The sequence below is a fragment of the Homo sapiens genome, chromosome 6 (genome assembly GCF_000001405.40).
Source record: "Homo sapiens chromosome 6, GRCh38.p14 Primary Assembly".
NCBI lineage: Eukaryota > Metazoa > Chordata > Mammalia > Primates > Hominidae > Homo > Homo sapiens.
The window spans coordinates 69,053,306-69,066,399 of record NC_000006.12 but is presented as its reverse complement, the minus strand read 5'-3'; the positions used below and the strand labels follow the sequence as shown (position 1 = coordinate 69,066,399).

The window sequence follows — 13,094 nt, the reverse complement described above, 5'->3', positions numbered from 1 at the left end:
AATTCCCATTCTTCCTTTTTTTTTTCACATGGCATTTTAATAAAATGTAATTTTGAAGTTATTCTTTCCTGAAAGTATAACGGATATTTTTGATATAAGAAAATAAGTGAAAGTAGACAGATTTGATATTAGAGATGTGTCATTTCTAAAAAAATTTGAAGGCAACAAATATGGGCATGTATATGTGTATACATGCATATATATAACTATATATTAATATATATATGTGGATGTATATGTGTGAAGGTTGGAGGTGGGGGGATGGGTGTGTTTGTATTAGTTGTCTCTTGTCATCCACAGGGGGTTGGTTCCAGAACCCCTTGCAGATACCAAAATCCATGGATGCTCAAGTATCTTATATATATTTGCATATAACCTATGCACATTCTGTTGTATACTTGAAATCATCTCTAAATTGCTTACAAGACCTAATACCATAATACAGTGTAAATACTATGTAAATAGTTTTTATACTATATTTTTACATTTGTATTTTTATTGTTATACTGTTATTTTTCATTTTTTTCCAAATATTTTTGATCTGTGGTTGGTTGAATCCACGGATGCAGATACTGAGGGCCAACTGAATATATGTACATATGTGTGTGTGTGTGTGTGTGTGTGTGTGTGTGTGTATATATATACATGAAGTTCAGGCTTGTTCTAATAAATTTCAGTCTGCATATTTAAGATATATTTTTTCTTCACATTTCAGCTAACATTATATTTCAAAATAGATCTTTTTTGTCTTCTCTTCAATGGAAATAAACTAATCTCAGTACATAGAATATATCTTTATAAGACTGGTAATAATATTATGATATTCAATAAATAAACCACATATTCCCTCCCTTAGTGAACAGTAATACTTCCCAAAGTATTTCACAAAATCTAATTTTAGCAATAAAATAAATGTAAATACAATAAGCTTTAGAAATTCAAAACACTAAAGTAGAAGGGCTGTATATATTGTACAGACAACAGTGAGATGGATATTTTAAATAAAAGAGTCCAGAGCAGCCCAGAGAGGCTCAGTTGTGTGGTCAGTAACTGGAGGAGCCTCTGAGAAGAGGCACGATGTGCACGGCGGGCAGATTCCAAACAAGAGCGCCTAGAGACTTTTTCTTCTCTAGCATAAAATTGTTCCTCTTTCTATTCTCCTCTCCCCATCCACTTTTTTGTAACAGATTTCTACATGTATACATACATTTTAAACATGGGCTTTCTAGAGTGGAGATATATTCTCGTGGGAACCTGGTCAATTCACTTACTCAAAATACTGAAAGACACAATTAATTCTAAGTGACTTCTGATAATTATCTCATCATTCTTACATGCTGACTTTCATTGTCATTCCAGTACTAGCTGGTGCTTAATAAAATTTGTTGACTATGTTCTTTGTTTTCCATATGTAGAAAATATTTTTAGTACATGGTTTATATCTTCTGTAAATCAGCTGACAAAACACATTTCCAGAACATAAAAGACAGACTCAAAGCTTAAATACGTTCATTTCAAATAGTTTTATTATACTCAAATAGTGAGACTATTTCAACACTATTTTTGAGACTACTCTTTTTTAATTTATTAAAAAAGCTTCCTTTAACATGTCCTTTAAGTTCTAAATAATGATTTCATCTTTATCAAAGTCTCGTGATTCATTTGCACAACTGTTCTCTGCATAAGAAACAGAGTACACATTCTGATACTGGGTGCTTCTTCAGTAATTCTATAATCTGATACAGAGAATTAATCTCTTACTACATTCTCCCAATACTTGTAACTGTAGAAAAACAATAAAAACATATATTTTTGTAAAAAATTTTGAATACACAAATTCTTTATTCAAAAGCAAATGTTCAGAAGTTAAAAATGTCTCCCAGTTCTCAGTGCAGTGAAGAGATGAGGGCTATACTAAGGTATGAGGAGGTAGATATTGTAGAACTAAAACACGTTCTTAAGGTTAGATAGAACTAGTATGGTCACATTTTGACAAAAGCAGGAAAACACCTAATAGTTTAAATATTAACTAATAGTTTAAATAGTTTAAATAGTTAAACTATTTAGAATAGTTTAAAGTTAAATAGTTTAAATAGTTAAACTATTTAGAATAGTTTAAAGTTAAATAGTTTAAATATCAAATGATCTTTGAAAGTTATTGCAGAGAGATTTGAAATTTTTATTAAATAATCCAGGAAGCCTGGCTCATCTTAGAAAAAGTGATTCACAGAAAAGGTGATTATCATTTTTCTATAAAACTAAGGCTGATTTTTTTCAGGAAATCAGAAACTACACAATAGTAGAAAATACACAAATTTTACAGCCAAAAGAATGTGAGTTTAAATTATGCTATGTCATTCACTAACTATATGGGCTTGGGATAATGACTTAATCACTTTTTCCTTTATTTTTTTTTCAATGTAAAGAAAGGTCAACTTCATAAAAACTTTGCAAGGATAAAAATATGTACAAGTAAATCATGAAACTGACTTATTTTAATACAGGAACTATGAAAGTACAATAAGGAAGACTTTCATAGGGATCACTTTCCTTGCTCCTCCACTTCAATGATTTAAGTATTTGAAGTGAATATTTAAATAATAAGTAGACATTGAAAATTTGTACAGAGGACTGAACAAAATCTGAAGCATTTCAGCTGCAGTTGGATAGATTTAAGAATGGGTTCTTTTCATTCTGAGATGAAAGATTTTGATTTAGACAATGCGATCACCTAGGTAGTTATAATAAGCCTTCCCTGATCCTTGACTTAGTATTTCTACACGCTACCCACTCCACCCAGCACCCCCTTCCTCTGAATTAATCATTCCCCTCTGCACTGTTTATAACTTTTACTGTGGCATGCAACTTAAATTTTTTCTTTCCTACCACATAGTGAGATCAAGTTTTATTTAAAGATAAAACTCACCAATTTTAAGTATATAGTTTAATGCTTTGGATAATTGTATACTACCATGTAAGCACCACTACAGTTAACAGGCTTTTACTCACCTCATCTTCTCCAGTGCCTAGCACAAAGCTTGGTAAAGATGTGTGCACTGATAAATGATTTATTAACTATTATTTGGATAAATTGAAGAGAATTTTATCATGAAAAAAGCATAGAATAACCATTCTTTGTTTCTTTATAATACATATACTCATTTGGATAAATTGAAGAGAATTTTATCATGAAAAAAGCATAGAATAATCATTCTGTTTCTTTATAATACACATACTCATAACAAGTTAATATATTTGCAACTATAAAAGTCTAGAAAATGTATTCTGGTGTTATCAGTTGAAAGAATGACTGTTAGAAAGGTAATTCCATAAGCAAGTCAGTGCCCAGTGGATGGTACTTACATTAGCCAAATGAGCTAGTTCTATCTCCAGAAACGAATCGGTTGTTTTGGGTTCAGGCCTTATTGTGACCACGATGATTTTGGAATTAATGACAGTATAATTTCTGCAACAGAGTAATTATAATTAAAAGGAGAAATGAGTGCTGAAAAGTATAAATTCCTACTGCTCAATACATTTTGGGATGGTTTCAAATAAATGCATCCAAAGCAAAAACATAAATCGTAGTATTATTCATGGAAAGACACATTTTACTGCTGTAAAGAAACCTTATGTGGAACAGAAAACTTAGGGAGAAAAGGCCATTTTACCATTTTAGATGCAGAAAATATGAGAAAGCAACAGCACTGATAAGCTTTTGATTACTTAAATCTGATTCACCTACAAGAGATATGGATTGTGAATTCAAACCTTCAGACAATATTTAAATGAATATAATTCATTTATATCAAGGAGGACCTAAGAGTTTTGTTCTCTCGGAGATCAAATACTCTTATTGCAATGTGCTGTCTTGGTGTTTTATGGATTATCCCAAAACACATTACAATAAATAATTGCAATGTGGAGTAACATTAGAGCAAACAGAGTTTAAATAGAAATAAATGCTGTTGCTAATTATTGACCATAATTTATTTCGACAATAGAGATTGACAGGCCACTGCTTGATCTCAATACTCTCAATCTAAGAAAGACATTTTGCCTGAAATATCTTACCAAGATATTTCATTTACAAAGAAGTTTAAGTTATTTTAAGAAAATCATATCTATAGTTTACAAGAAATTATCTACCAATATAAACATAAAACTGAACCAACTTTTTCTAGTATATGTAGGTTTTCACACAAAATATGTAAAATGCTGCAGATCATCTAGTATTTAGAGATTTAAAGATGATTTAATTTTACTCATAACACACTTGAGTGTGTGTTTATGTGTGAATATATTCCTGTTTGGAATTGTGAAATAATAAACCACATGCTCTTCCATCGGTCATGTACTATTCTGGAGAATTCACATTAGGTATCAATGACAAAATCATTTAATTTTTTTCTCCTTTTTTGTTTTTTGAGGTAGTATTTACAGATAAAACTCACAATTTTAAGTACATAGTTTAATTCTTTGGATAATATACTACCATGTAAGTACCACCACATTTAACATAGACAAACAATCCCTTACCCTAAACAGTTTTCTCAAGTCCCTTTGTATTTCATCCCCTACCCTTCCATGCTCCCAGGCAACCACGGACATGCTGCTGTTTTAATTTTAACTTAATTCATTTAGCATAACATTTTTGAGATTCATCTATTTTGTTTCCTTTTACAGTTGAGTAATATTGTATGGTACAAATACAGCACAATTTATTGATGTATTTATCAATTAGGTTAAAACCTTTAGGTTATTTCTGATTTTTAGCCTTTAGAAATAATAGCTAATGATATTTGGCTATTATAAATAATTACCATACACATTTTATGTATGGATATATATTTTCATATGTCTAAGGTGAATATCTGAGAGTGGAATTCCTTGATTATGCTGTAAAGGCATACTTAATTTTATGTTACTCCCATATTGTTTTCTAAAGTGATTGTACCATTTAAGTCATATAGTTCTGATACGGTGGAACCATGCTGAACCTAGCTTTTTTTGAGATTTGTTTTTCTCTAATGAGGTGGTTTTTGGCACAAGATTTCATCAGAAAAAAATGCGGAGTTATTCCGTGGTTGGAGGAATTTACTATATCTAGTAGCAGAGGAACTATACACCTGTTTCGCATGGGTTAACATTTTTAAGTGCATTTCTCATGTATGCAGTAATGTCAAATGACACTTTTTTAAACACTCAGGAAGCTATTCAGCCTAAGAGTAAAGAGTTAAAAACAACAAAGCATAAGTCTATTTTGTTTTTGTTAAGAGGAAGATTGTTGCAGACAGAGAGAGCTGGTTAACAGTCTTTTTTTTTTTTCATTAAATGATAAATGAGTCAATTGAAGGTACAGTACATTTTGAAGGACAGAAAACTAAGCTCTAAATGTCAAGCTTCTTTTGCCAAATTATTCTTCCATGTTTTTCTGTGAGTAAAAGTGATCAGGGAACCAAGTGAGAATAGAGAAATTGACAAAGTTGAGAGGTGATCCTGGGTGGTTGATCATATTAGCACAGCTGGCAGGCCTCCCAGAGAATGGTGTATACAGCTTAGAGTTAGGGGAAATATCCACCTGTCATTACCAGAGAAATTATGAACATTTCTCCCAGAGAAGAATCAGTCCTGAACAGACAGATGTAAGTTCCTTTTTTGGATTAGCCTGAATATGTTTAAGTTCTGGTTTGGTTTTGCAAAACAAAAATATTGATGCTTCACTCAAATTCCATTTGTCTCTTTATTCTGGTTCTCTTTATAATCCTAGTTACCGGCTTTTAATAAAACCCAATGATTACCAATTTTAATTATTATTAAATTATTATATTAGAAAGGTATCTCTATTATGTTTAAGTTCCATGAATGGATACATTACTGGAAAACAAACACAGATGTGGGTATCCTATAAAGAAGATTGCAATTTTGTCAAGATATTTATGAAGCTCCCTGTGTGTTTGGGAATGTGGAGACTTTGGCCCTGAATGGCTGGTCTGTAAGGAGCAAAGTAGCTACAATAAGTTGCCTTCTGCAGGGTATATTACACTGTGTTAGGTTCATCAGCTGCTCATCTGGCCTGGTGGAGAAGTTCCCTAGAGGACAGAATCAACCCTATGGCTTTTGCTGAGAGAGAAGGAGAGACAGAGGAGGAGAGAGAGAGAGAGAGAGAGAGAGAGAGAAAGAGAGAGAGAGACAGAGAAAGAGAGAGAGAGAAAGAAAATGTGTGTATGTTTTAATATATTTAGAATATATTTGAGAAGAGATATGTGTCAATTTATTCATGCATATCAGTGTGCTAATACCATTCATGTGAATCCCTGACACCTTGTGCCCCAATACAGTAACGTGCACCTACCTCTACGAAAGCATCCATCAATTCTACGCATGTCTTTTTCCATATGATAATAAGCTCAATGAGAGCAAGATTTTTATCTATCATTTATATGTCCTCATTCGTATTATTCTTTGGAACATTTTAATACTTAAAACATGTTTGAGTGTTTTGTTTAATAAGCAAATACTAAACAAAAATGTCAAAATTTTAACAAGTTGATTTAAAATGTAATGCCAATATCATGGTATTAAATGCCTAATAAAGGAAAATAAATAAGCAAATTTACATTATGCAATGGCTTCCTTTTCAAAAAGTGTATAGTGTACAAAATTGTCTTTAATTTATTCCATCAATTTATTCTAATTTGCACAAGTGAATAGCTGGCTTCTGATATGCCATGTCAGGCTTTGTGATCTGCTAATGCTCCCTGGCTGGCTGCACATTTGCATTCACTGCTAGAAAAGCAGATCTGACAGCCAAATGGATTTCATGACTCAAATAATAAAATTATTTTCTGTCCTTGAGATTTATGCTCGTTGATATATAAAACATTTCAAAATATATAGAATTAATCATTCAAAGGTAACCCAACTTAATCTTCACATTTTTTTGCAGAGTCTTAAGAAGTTAAAGGCACATGAACCATATCTTAAAGAGAGTATAAAAAGTGATTAAAAATACAATTCAGTTGTCTACAACAGACTCACTTTGTATATAAGGGCATCCATAGACTGAAAGTAAAAGTATGGATAAAACATCCTATGTAAAAGATAACCAAAAGAGAATGAGGTTGGCTACACTTATATCAAACAAAATAGACTTCAAGTCAAAAACTGTTTCAAGAGACAAAAAAAGACACAATGTAATGATAAAATGGTTGATTCTCTGGGGAGGTATAACAATTATAAATATATGTGCACCTAATGTCATAGCACCCAAACATGTGAAGCAAACATTGAAATAATTGAGGAAAGAAATAAATAGTAACAATATAATGGGATATTTTAATATCCCATTTTTAATAACTAGACAGATTAACTAGATAGATTACCTAGACAGAAAATTAATAAGAAAACAGATGACATGAATAACATTATAGATGAATTGGACCTAACAGGCACATGCAGAACACTCCATACAACAACAGCAGAATACACATTCTTCTCAAGGGCAGACAGAAAATTTTCCAGGATAGACCACATGTTAAGCCACAAAACAAACCTTAACAAATTGAAGAAGAGTGAAATCTTACCAAGTATCTTTTCCGACTACAATGGAATAAAACTAGAACTCAATACTAAGAAAAACACTGAAAAATTGAGAAATATGTAGAAATCAAACAGCACACTTTTGAACAACCAGCGGATCAAAGAAGAAATCACAAGAAATATTGGAAAATATCATGAGACAAGTGAAAATGAAAATACAACATACCACATAACATATGTGAGGCAGCAAAAAGGTACTAAGAGGGAAGTTTATAGCAGTAAACACCTACATTAAAAAAGAAGAAAGATCTCAAATCAAAACCTGACTTTATACTTCAGAGAACTTGAAAAAGAGGCATAAACTAAACCCAAAGTTAATGAAGAAAGATAATAATAAAGATTAGAGCTGAAATATACAGAATAGAAAATAGCAAACCCATGTAAAAATCAACAAAACTAAGAGTTGATTTTTGGAGAAAAAATATACAAAATTGACAAACCCTTTTTAAAAAGAGTAAGTGAAAAGAAAGAGAGAAGACTCAAATAACAAAAACCAGAAAAAAAGGAGGAGACATCACAACTGATGGCACTGAAGTAAATAGTATCATAAGAGACAGCTATGAACAATTAATTATATGTCAACATACAAGATAACCTAAAAGAAATAGACAGATTTTAAGAAAAAATATAACACACCAAGACTGAAGCATGCAGAAATTTTATTTCTGAATAGACCCATAACTAGTAAAGCGATTGAATCAATAATCAAAAACCTCTCAACAAAAGTCTAGAGGACCAGAAGTCTTCACTAGAGAATTCTATGATACATTTAAAGAAGAATAAACACAACTCATTCTCAAAGTCTTCCAAAAAATTAAAGCAGAGAGCACTTTTAAACCCATTATAGGAGGCCAGTATTACCTGGATACTGAAATCAGACAAAGATACTATATATAAAAAAAAGGAAAACTACAGACAAATATCCTTAATAAATATTGATGCAAAAATCCTCAACAAAATGCTAGCAAACCAAATTCAGCAGCATGTTAAAAAGTTTATATATCATGACCAAGAGAGATTTATTTCTGAAATGCAAAGATGTTTCCACAAATGAGAATCAATCAGTGTAATACATCACATTTACAGAATGAAGATCAAAAACTGCATGACTGTCTCAATTGATTTTTAAAAAGCATGTGACAAAATTCGACACCCTTTCATGATAAAATCGCTTAATGAACCAGGAATATGAAGAAATTATCTCAACATAGCAAAGGTCTTATATGCAAAACCCACATCTAATATCACACTTTATGGTAAAACAAACAAAACAAAACAAAACAAAAAAACCCTGAAAGTTTTTCCCCTAAGATCAGAAATAAGACAAAAATGCCCTCTCTTGCCAGTTTTATTCAACATAGTACTAGAAGTCCTACAAACAGCAATTAGGTAAGAAAAAGAAATAAAAGGCATCCAAATGGGAAAGGAAGAGGTAAAATTACCTCTGTTCATAGATGACATGACTTTATATGTAGTAAACCCTAAAGATTACACACAGACACACATTAAAAATCTTGTTATAATTAAAGAACAAATTCAGTGAAGTTGCAGAATGCAAGAAAATTAACGCACAAAAATCAATTGTTTCCATACATTATCAATGAACAATCTAAAAGGAAATTAATAAAAGAATCCCATTTAAAAAGCATCAAAATAAATAAAATATGAGTAAACTTAAGGAGGAAAGAGTTATACATTGAAAACTATAAAACATTTCTGAAAAAAATGAAGGAAGAGACAGATAAATGGAAGGAAATCCTGTGTCCATGAATTAGATGACTTAATATGGTTAAAATGTCCATATTACCCAAAGCAATCTATCCAAATGGTATTTTTGCAGAAATGGAAAAAAATATAAAATTCACATAAAATCTCAAAGAATTCTTGACAGCTGGAGCAGTCTTAAGAAAGAAAGGTATTCTCTATTTTCAAGCTATATTACAAAGCTACAGTAATGATTATTTTTAAAGTATGGTACTGGTGTCAAGACAGACATATAGACCAACAGAACAGAATAGAGTACACAGAAATAAATCCTCATGTATATGGTCAAATGATCCTCGACAAGGGTGCTAAGGCTACACAATGAGAAAAGGATAATCTCTTCAACAAACAGTGTTGGAAAAACTGGATATCCATGTGCCTACACCATATAAAAAACAACATAAAATGGATTAAGATGTAAACATAAGACTAGAAACTATAAAACTTTTAAAAGAAAACATAGAGAAATACATTCAAATCATTGAACTTGGAGATGACACCAAAAGTACAGGGAAGAAAAGCTAAAATGAGCAAATAGGACTTCATCAAATTAAAAAACAAAACAAAGTAACTTTTGTGCAGGAAAGAAAACAGTGAGTAGAATGAAAAGGCCACCTATGAAAAGGGAGAAAATATTTGCAAACTATGTATCTGATAAGAGGTTAACATCCAGAATATATAAATAACTCCTAAACTTGACAACAAAAACCCAAACCAAATTATCAAATTAAAATATGGGCAAAAGACTTGAATAGACATTTTTTCCAAAGAAGGTACGCAAATGGACAACAAGGATATAAAAAGATGCTCTACATCACTAATCATAAGAGAAATGCAAATCAAAACTACAATGGGTTATCACCTCACACCCACTAGGATAACCATTATTAAAAAACAAAAGACAGGCTGGGCGGGGTGGCTCATGTCTGTAATCTCAGCACTTTGAGAGGCCGAGGGTGGCGATCTCATGAGGCCAGGAGTTTGAGACCAGCCTGGCCAACATGGGGAAATCTCATCTCTATTAAAAATACAAAAATTAGCCAGGCGTGATAGTACACATCTGTAATCTCTGCTACTTGGGAGGCTGAGGTAGGAGAATTGCTTGAACTGGAGAGGTAGAGGTTGCAGTGAGCTGAGATCTGTACCACTGCACTCTAGCCTGTGCAACAGAGCGAGACTGTGTGCACAAAACAAAACAAAACAAAACAAAGCAAAACAAAAAAAAACAAAAACAAAAAAACAACATAACAAATGTTGACAAGGATGTGGGAAAATTGGAACCCTGATGCAATGTTGGTGGGAATGTGAAATGGTGCAGCTGCTTTGGAATACGGTAGGCAGTTTCTGAAAAAACAAAAAATAATCCAATGATCTCTCTTCTGAGTATATGTCCAAAAGAATTGAAAGAAAGATCTCAAAGAAATATTTGAACACCCATGTTCATCATGTGTAATTGACAATTGCCAAGAGGTGGAAGCAAGCTGATTGTCCATCAATGGAAGAATGGATGAAGAAAATGTGGTATATACATAAACAATGAAATATTCTTCAGCCGTATAAAAAGAAAAAAAACTTATCATATGCTACAAGACAAATGAACCCAAAGGATATTGTGCTAATTGAAATAAATCAATCACAAAAAGATGAATACTGCATGATTCCACTTACATGAGGTATTTAAAGCAGTCACACTCAGAATCAGAAAATAGAATGATAGTTGCTAAGGGTCAGAGGGAGTGGGAAAAGGGGAGTTGTGCTTTAATGTGTATAGTCTTAATTTTGCAAGATGAAAAGTTTCTAGAGATGTTACACAAGTGCATATAGTTAACATTGTACTGTACACTAAAAATAGTTATTATGGTAAATTTTATGTTTTTTTAACACAATAAAAAATGTAATGCAGTTATAGAAAAATCACCAATGGAGGAGATGGCAGAACTAATAGCACACATACAGTATTGCCAGATAAGATACAACAAAAAGATGTTATGGGTTTAATGGAAGTTAGTAAAGTTACTATAGTCCTTTTCCATTTTTAGATTTATAGTTCATGTAGCTTCAAAAATGAAACTTTCATAAATGTTTTAAGTGAATAGACCAATTTAAATAAGACCAAAATAAAACAGATGATTTCATATAGTATGGGAATTTGGGTACTTTATCAAAATTTTAAAGCTGAATATCTTTGTTTTTAAAACTAAAATCAGTTGACAGCTGCTACAAAGTAGGATTGGGTTTACTTAAAGCTTGAAAGGAGTTAGAATTTCACTGTAGGTTGCTAAGATATGTAGAATCTAGAATTTTAAAAATGCCAAGTGATCAGAGATTTACATTCACTTTTAAAATATCTGACCAAACTAAACCGAGATTTTAAAAAATAACGCACTAAGTAACACCACAATATTTTATACTATAAGCTACGCCAATTTGTTATTTCCATAGATAATTTAAATTTCTAATGTTTTCATGAGAAGACATTCTAAAAAGGTACAGAACGTCACAAAACTAGAATATTCCATTGCAAAGTGAGAATTAAAAAGGAAGATTCAAAGTTTAGGTCCTAAACCTAAGGACATGAGCTCTGGAGAGAGCTGACTGCTTCAGGTTGATTGCTTTCAGCGTGCATTTGTGTAAAAGTGATTATGTCTTCAATTTTCTATTATTTCCAATATTATTTTTCTATTCATTTTTAATTTCTATAGCATTAGGAATTCAAATGAGTTCAATTTCCTGAATATATAAAAATTTCAGCCTCATTTATCTTAATTAGGTTAGTGTACTTGACAAGAAATTCATTTGATTTTTGCATTATTGAAATTTGTTCCTTTCTTTAAAAATAATTTTGTAATAACTTTTGGTTTATGAAGACACTTTAGTTTTCATTCATCTGTATTTTCCTTTATTCCACTATAGTGGAATTTACATATAATTTTATTAGTTCTTTTATAATGTCTTTAATGTTAATCATTACATAAGATGCATTTTTTAAGGGACTACATTTTTCATGTCTTAACAGGATAACGACATACTGCTCACATACTCAGAACTTTCATGGCTTTCCCACAAAATTGGAAGCTGAACTTATTAAATGAATCAGACAAATGATTGTTTATAACCATTTATTGATTTCTTGGCTTGAGGGTATACTTGGATATACTTTTCTATTTCCTTAGAGATTATTTCCTTAAAATAAATTCTTAGAAGTAGAATTGCTATATCAATGACAAAGCACTTTTAAGGCTCTTGGTATTGCCAAATTGGCCTCCAAAAATGCTATAAAAGTAAGTTAAAATTCTCAGAGCAGTTTACGAGCTTGCCAAGATATGGATGTTTTCTAATTCCTTAATGTGAATGTGGTCTGTGTGTCAATATCTCACTCTCTCAAAGGACCCTCTGAACTGGGCTGGACATGCACATAAGTGGTCAAGGGGGAATGGGAGGTGTGACAAACTCAAGCCTTGGTATTGACAGCCTGGGCTGGGGCCACCAGGCCAGCCCCAGTGCTCCCTGAAACTGCCCACACATAGCCACCCACTCTGGCTCTTACAAGATTTTCTGCAATGGATACAGATATACTCATGTGCTATCATGGAAGTCTATGGTTTGTATTGCTTAAAATAATAAATAGTAACAGAATAGAGGGAATGAGATATAGTAGAAGAGTCCTGGTTTTAGCAAACAAGATAAGTTGTATTATAACTCAGTTACCTAATGGACATATAATCTTA

General features: G+C 31.9%; 1 protein-coding gene across 1 annotated transcript in view; it reads right to left on the bottom strand.

Moving 5' to 3' along the window:
• ADGRB3 (adhesion G protein-coupled receptor B3) overlaps window positions 1-13,094 on the bottom strand; it is a 754,225-nt gene that overhangs the window by 323,107 nt on the left and 418,024 nt on the right. Inside the window, exon 16 of the mRNA NM_001704.3 lies at window positions 3,364-3,466. Coding sequence (NP_001695.2) covers window positions 3,364-3,466 — 103 coding nt within the window. The remainder of the gene's footprint in view (window positions 1-3,363; window positions 3,467-13,094) is intronic.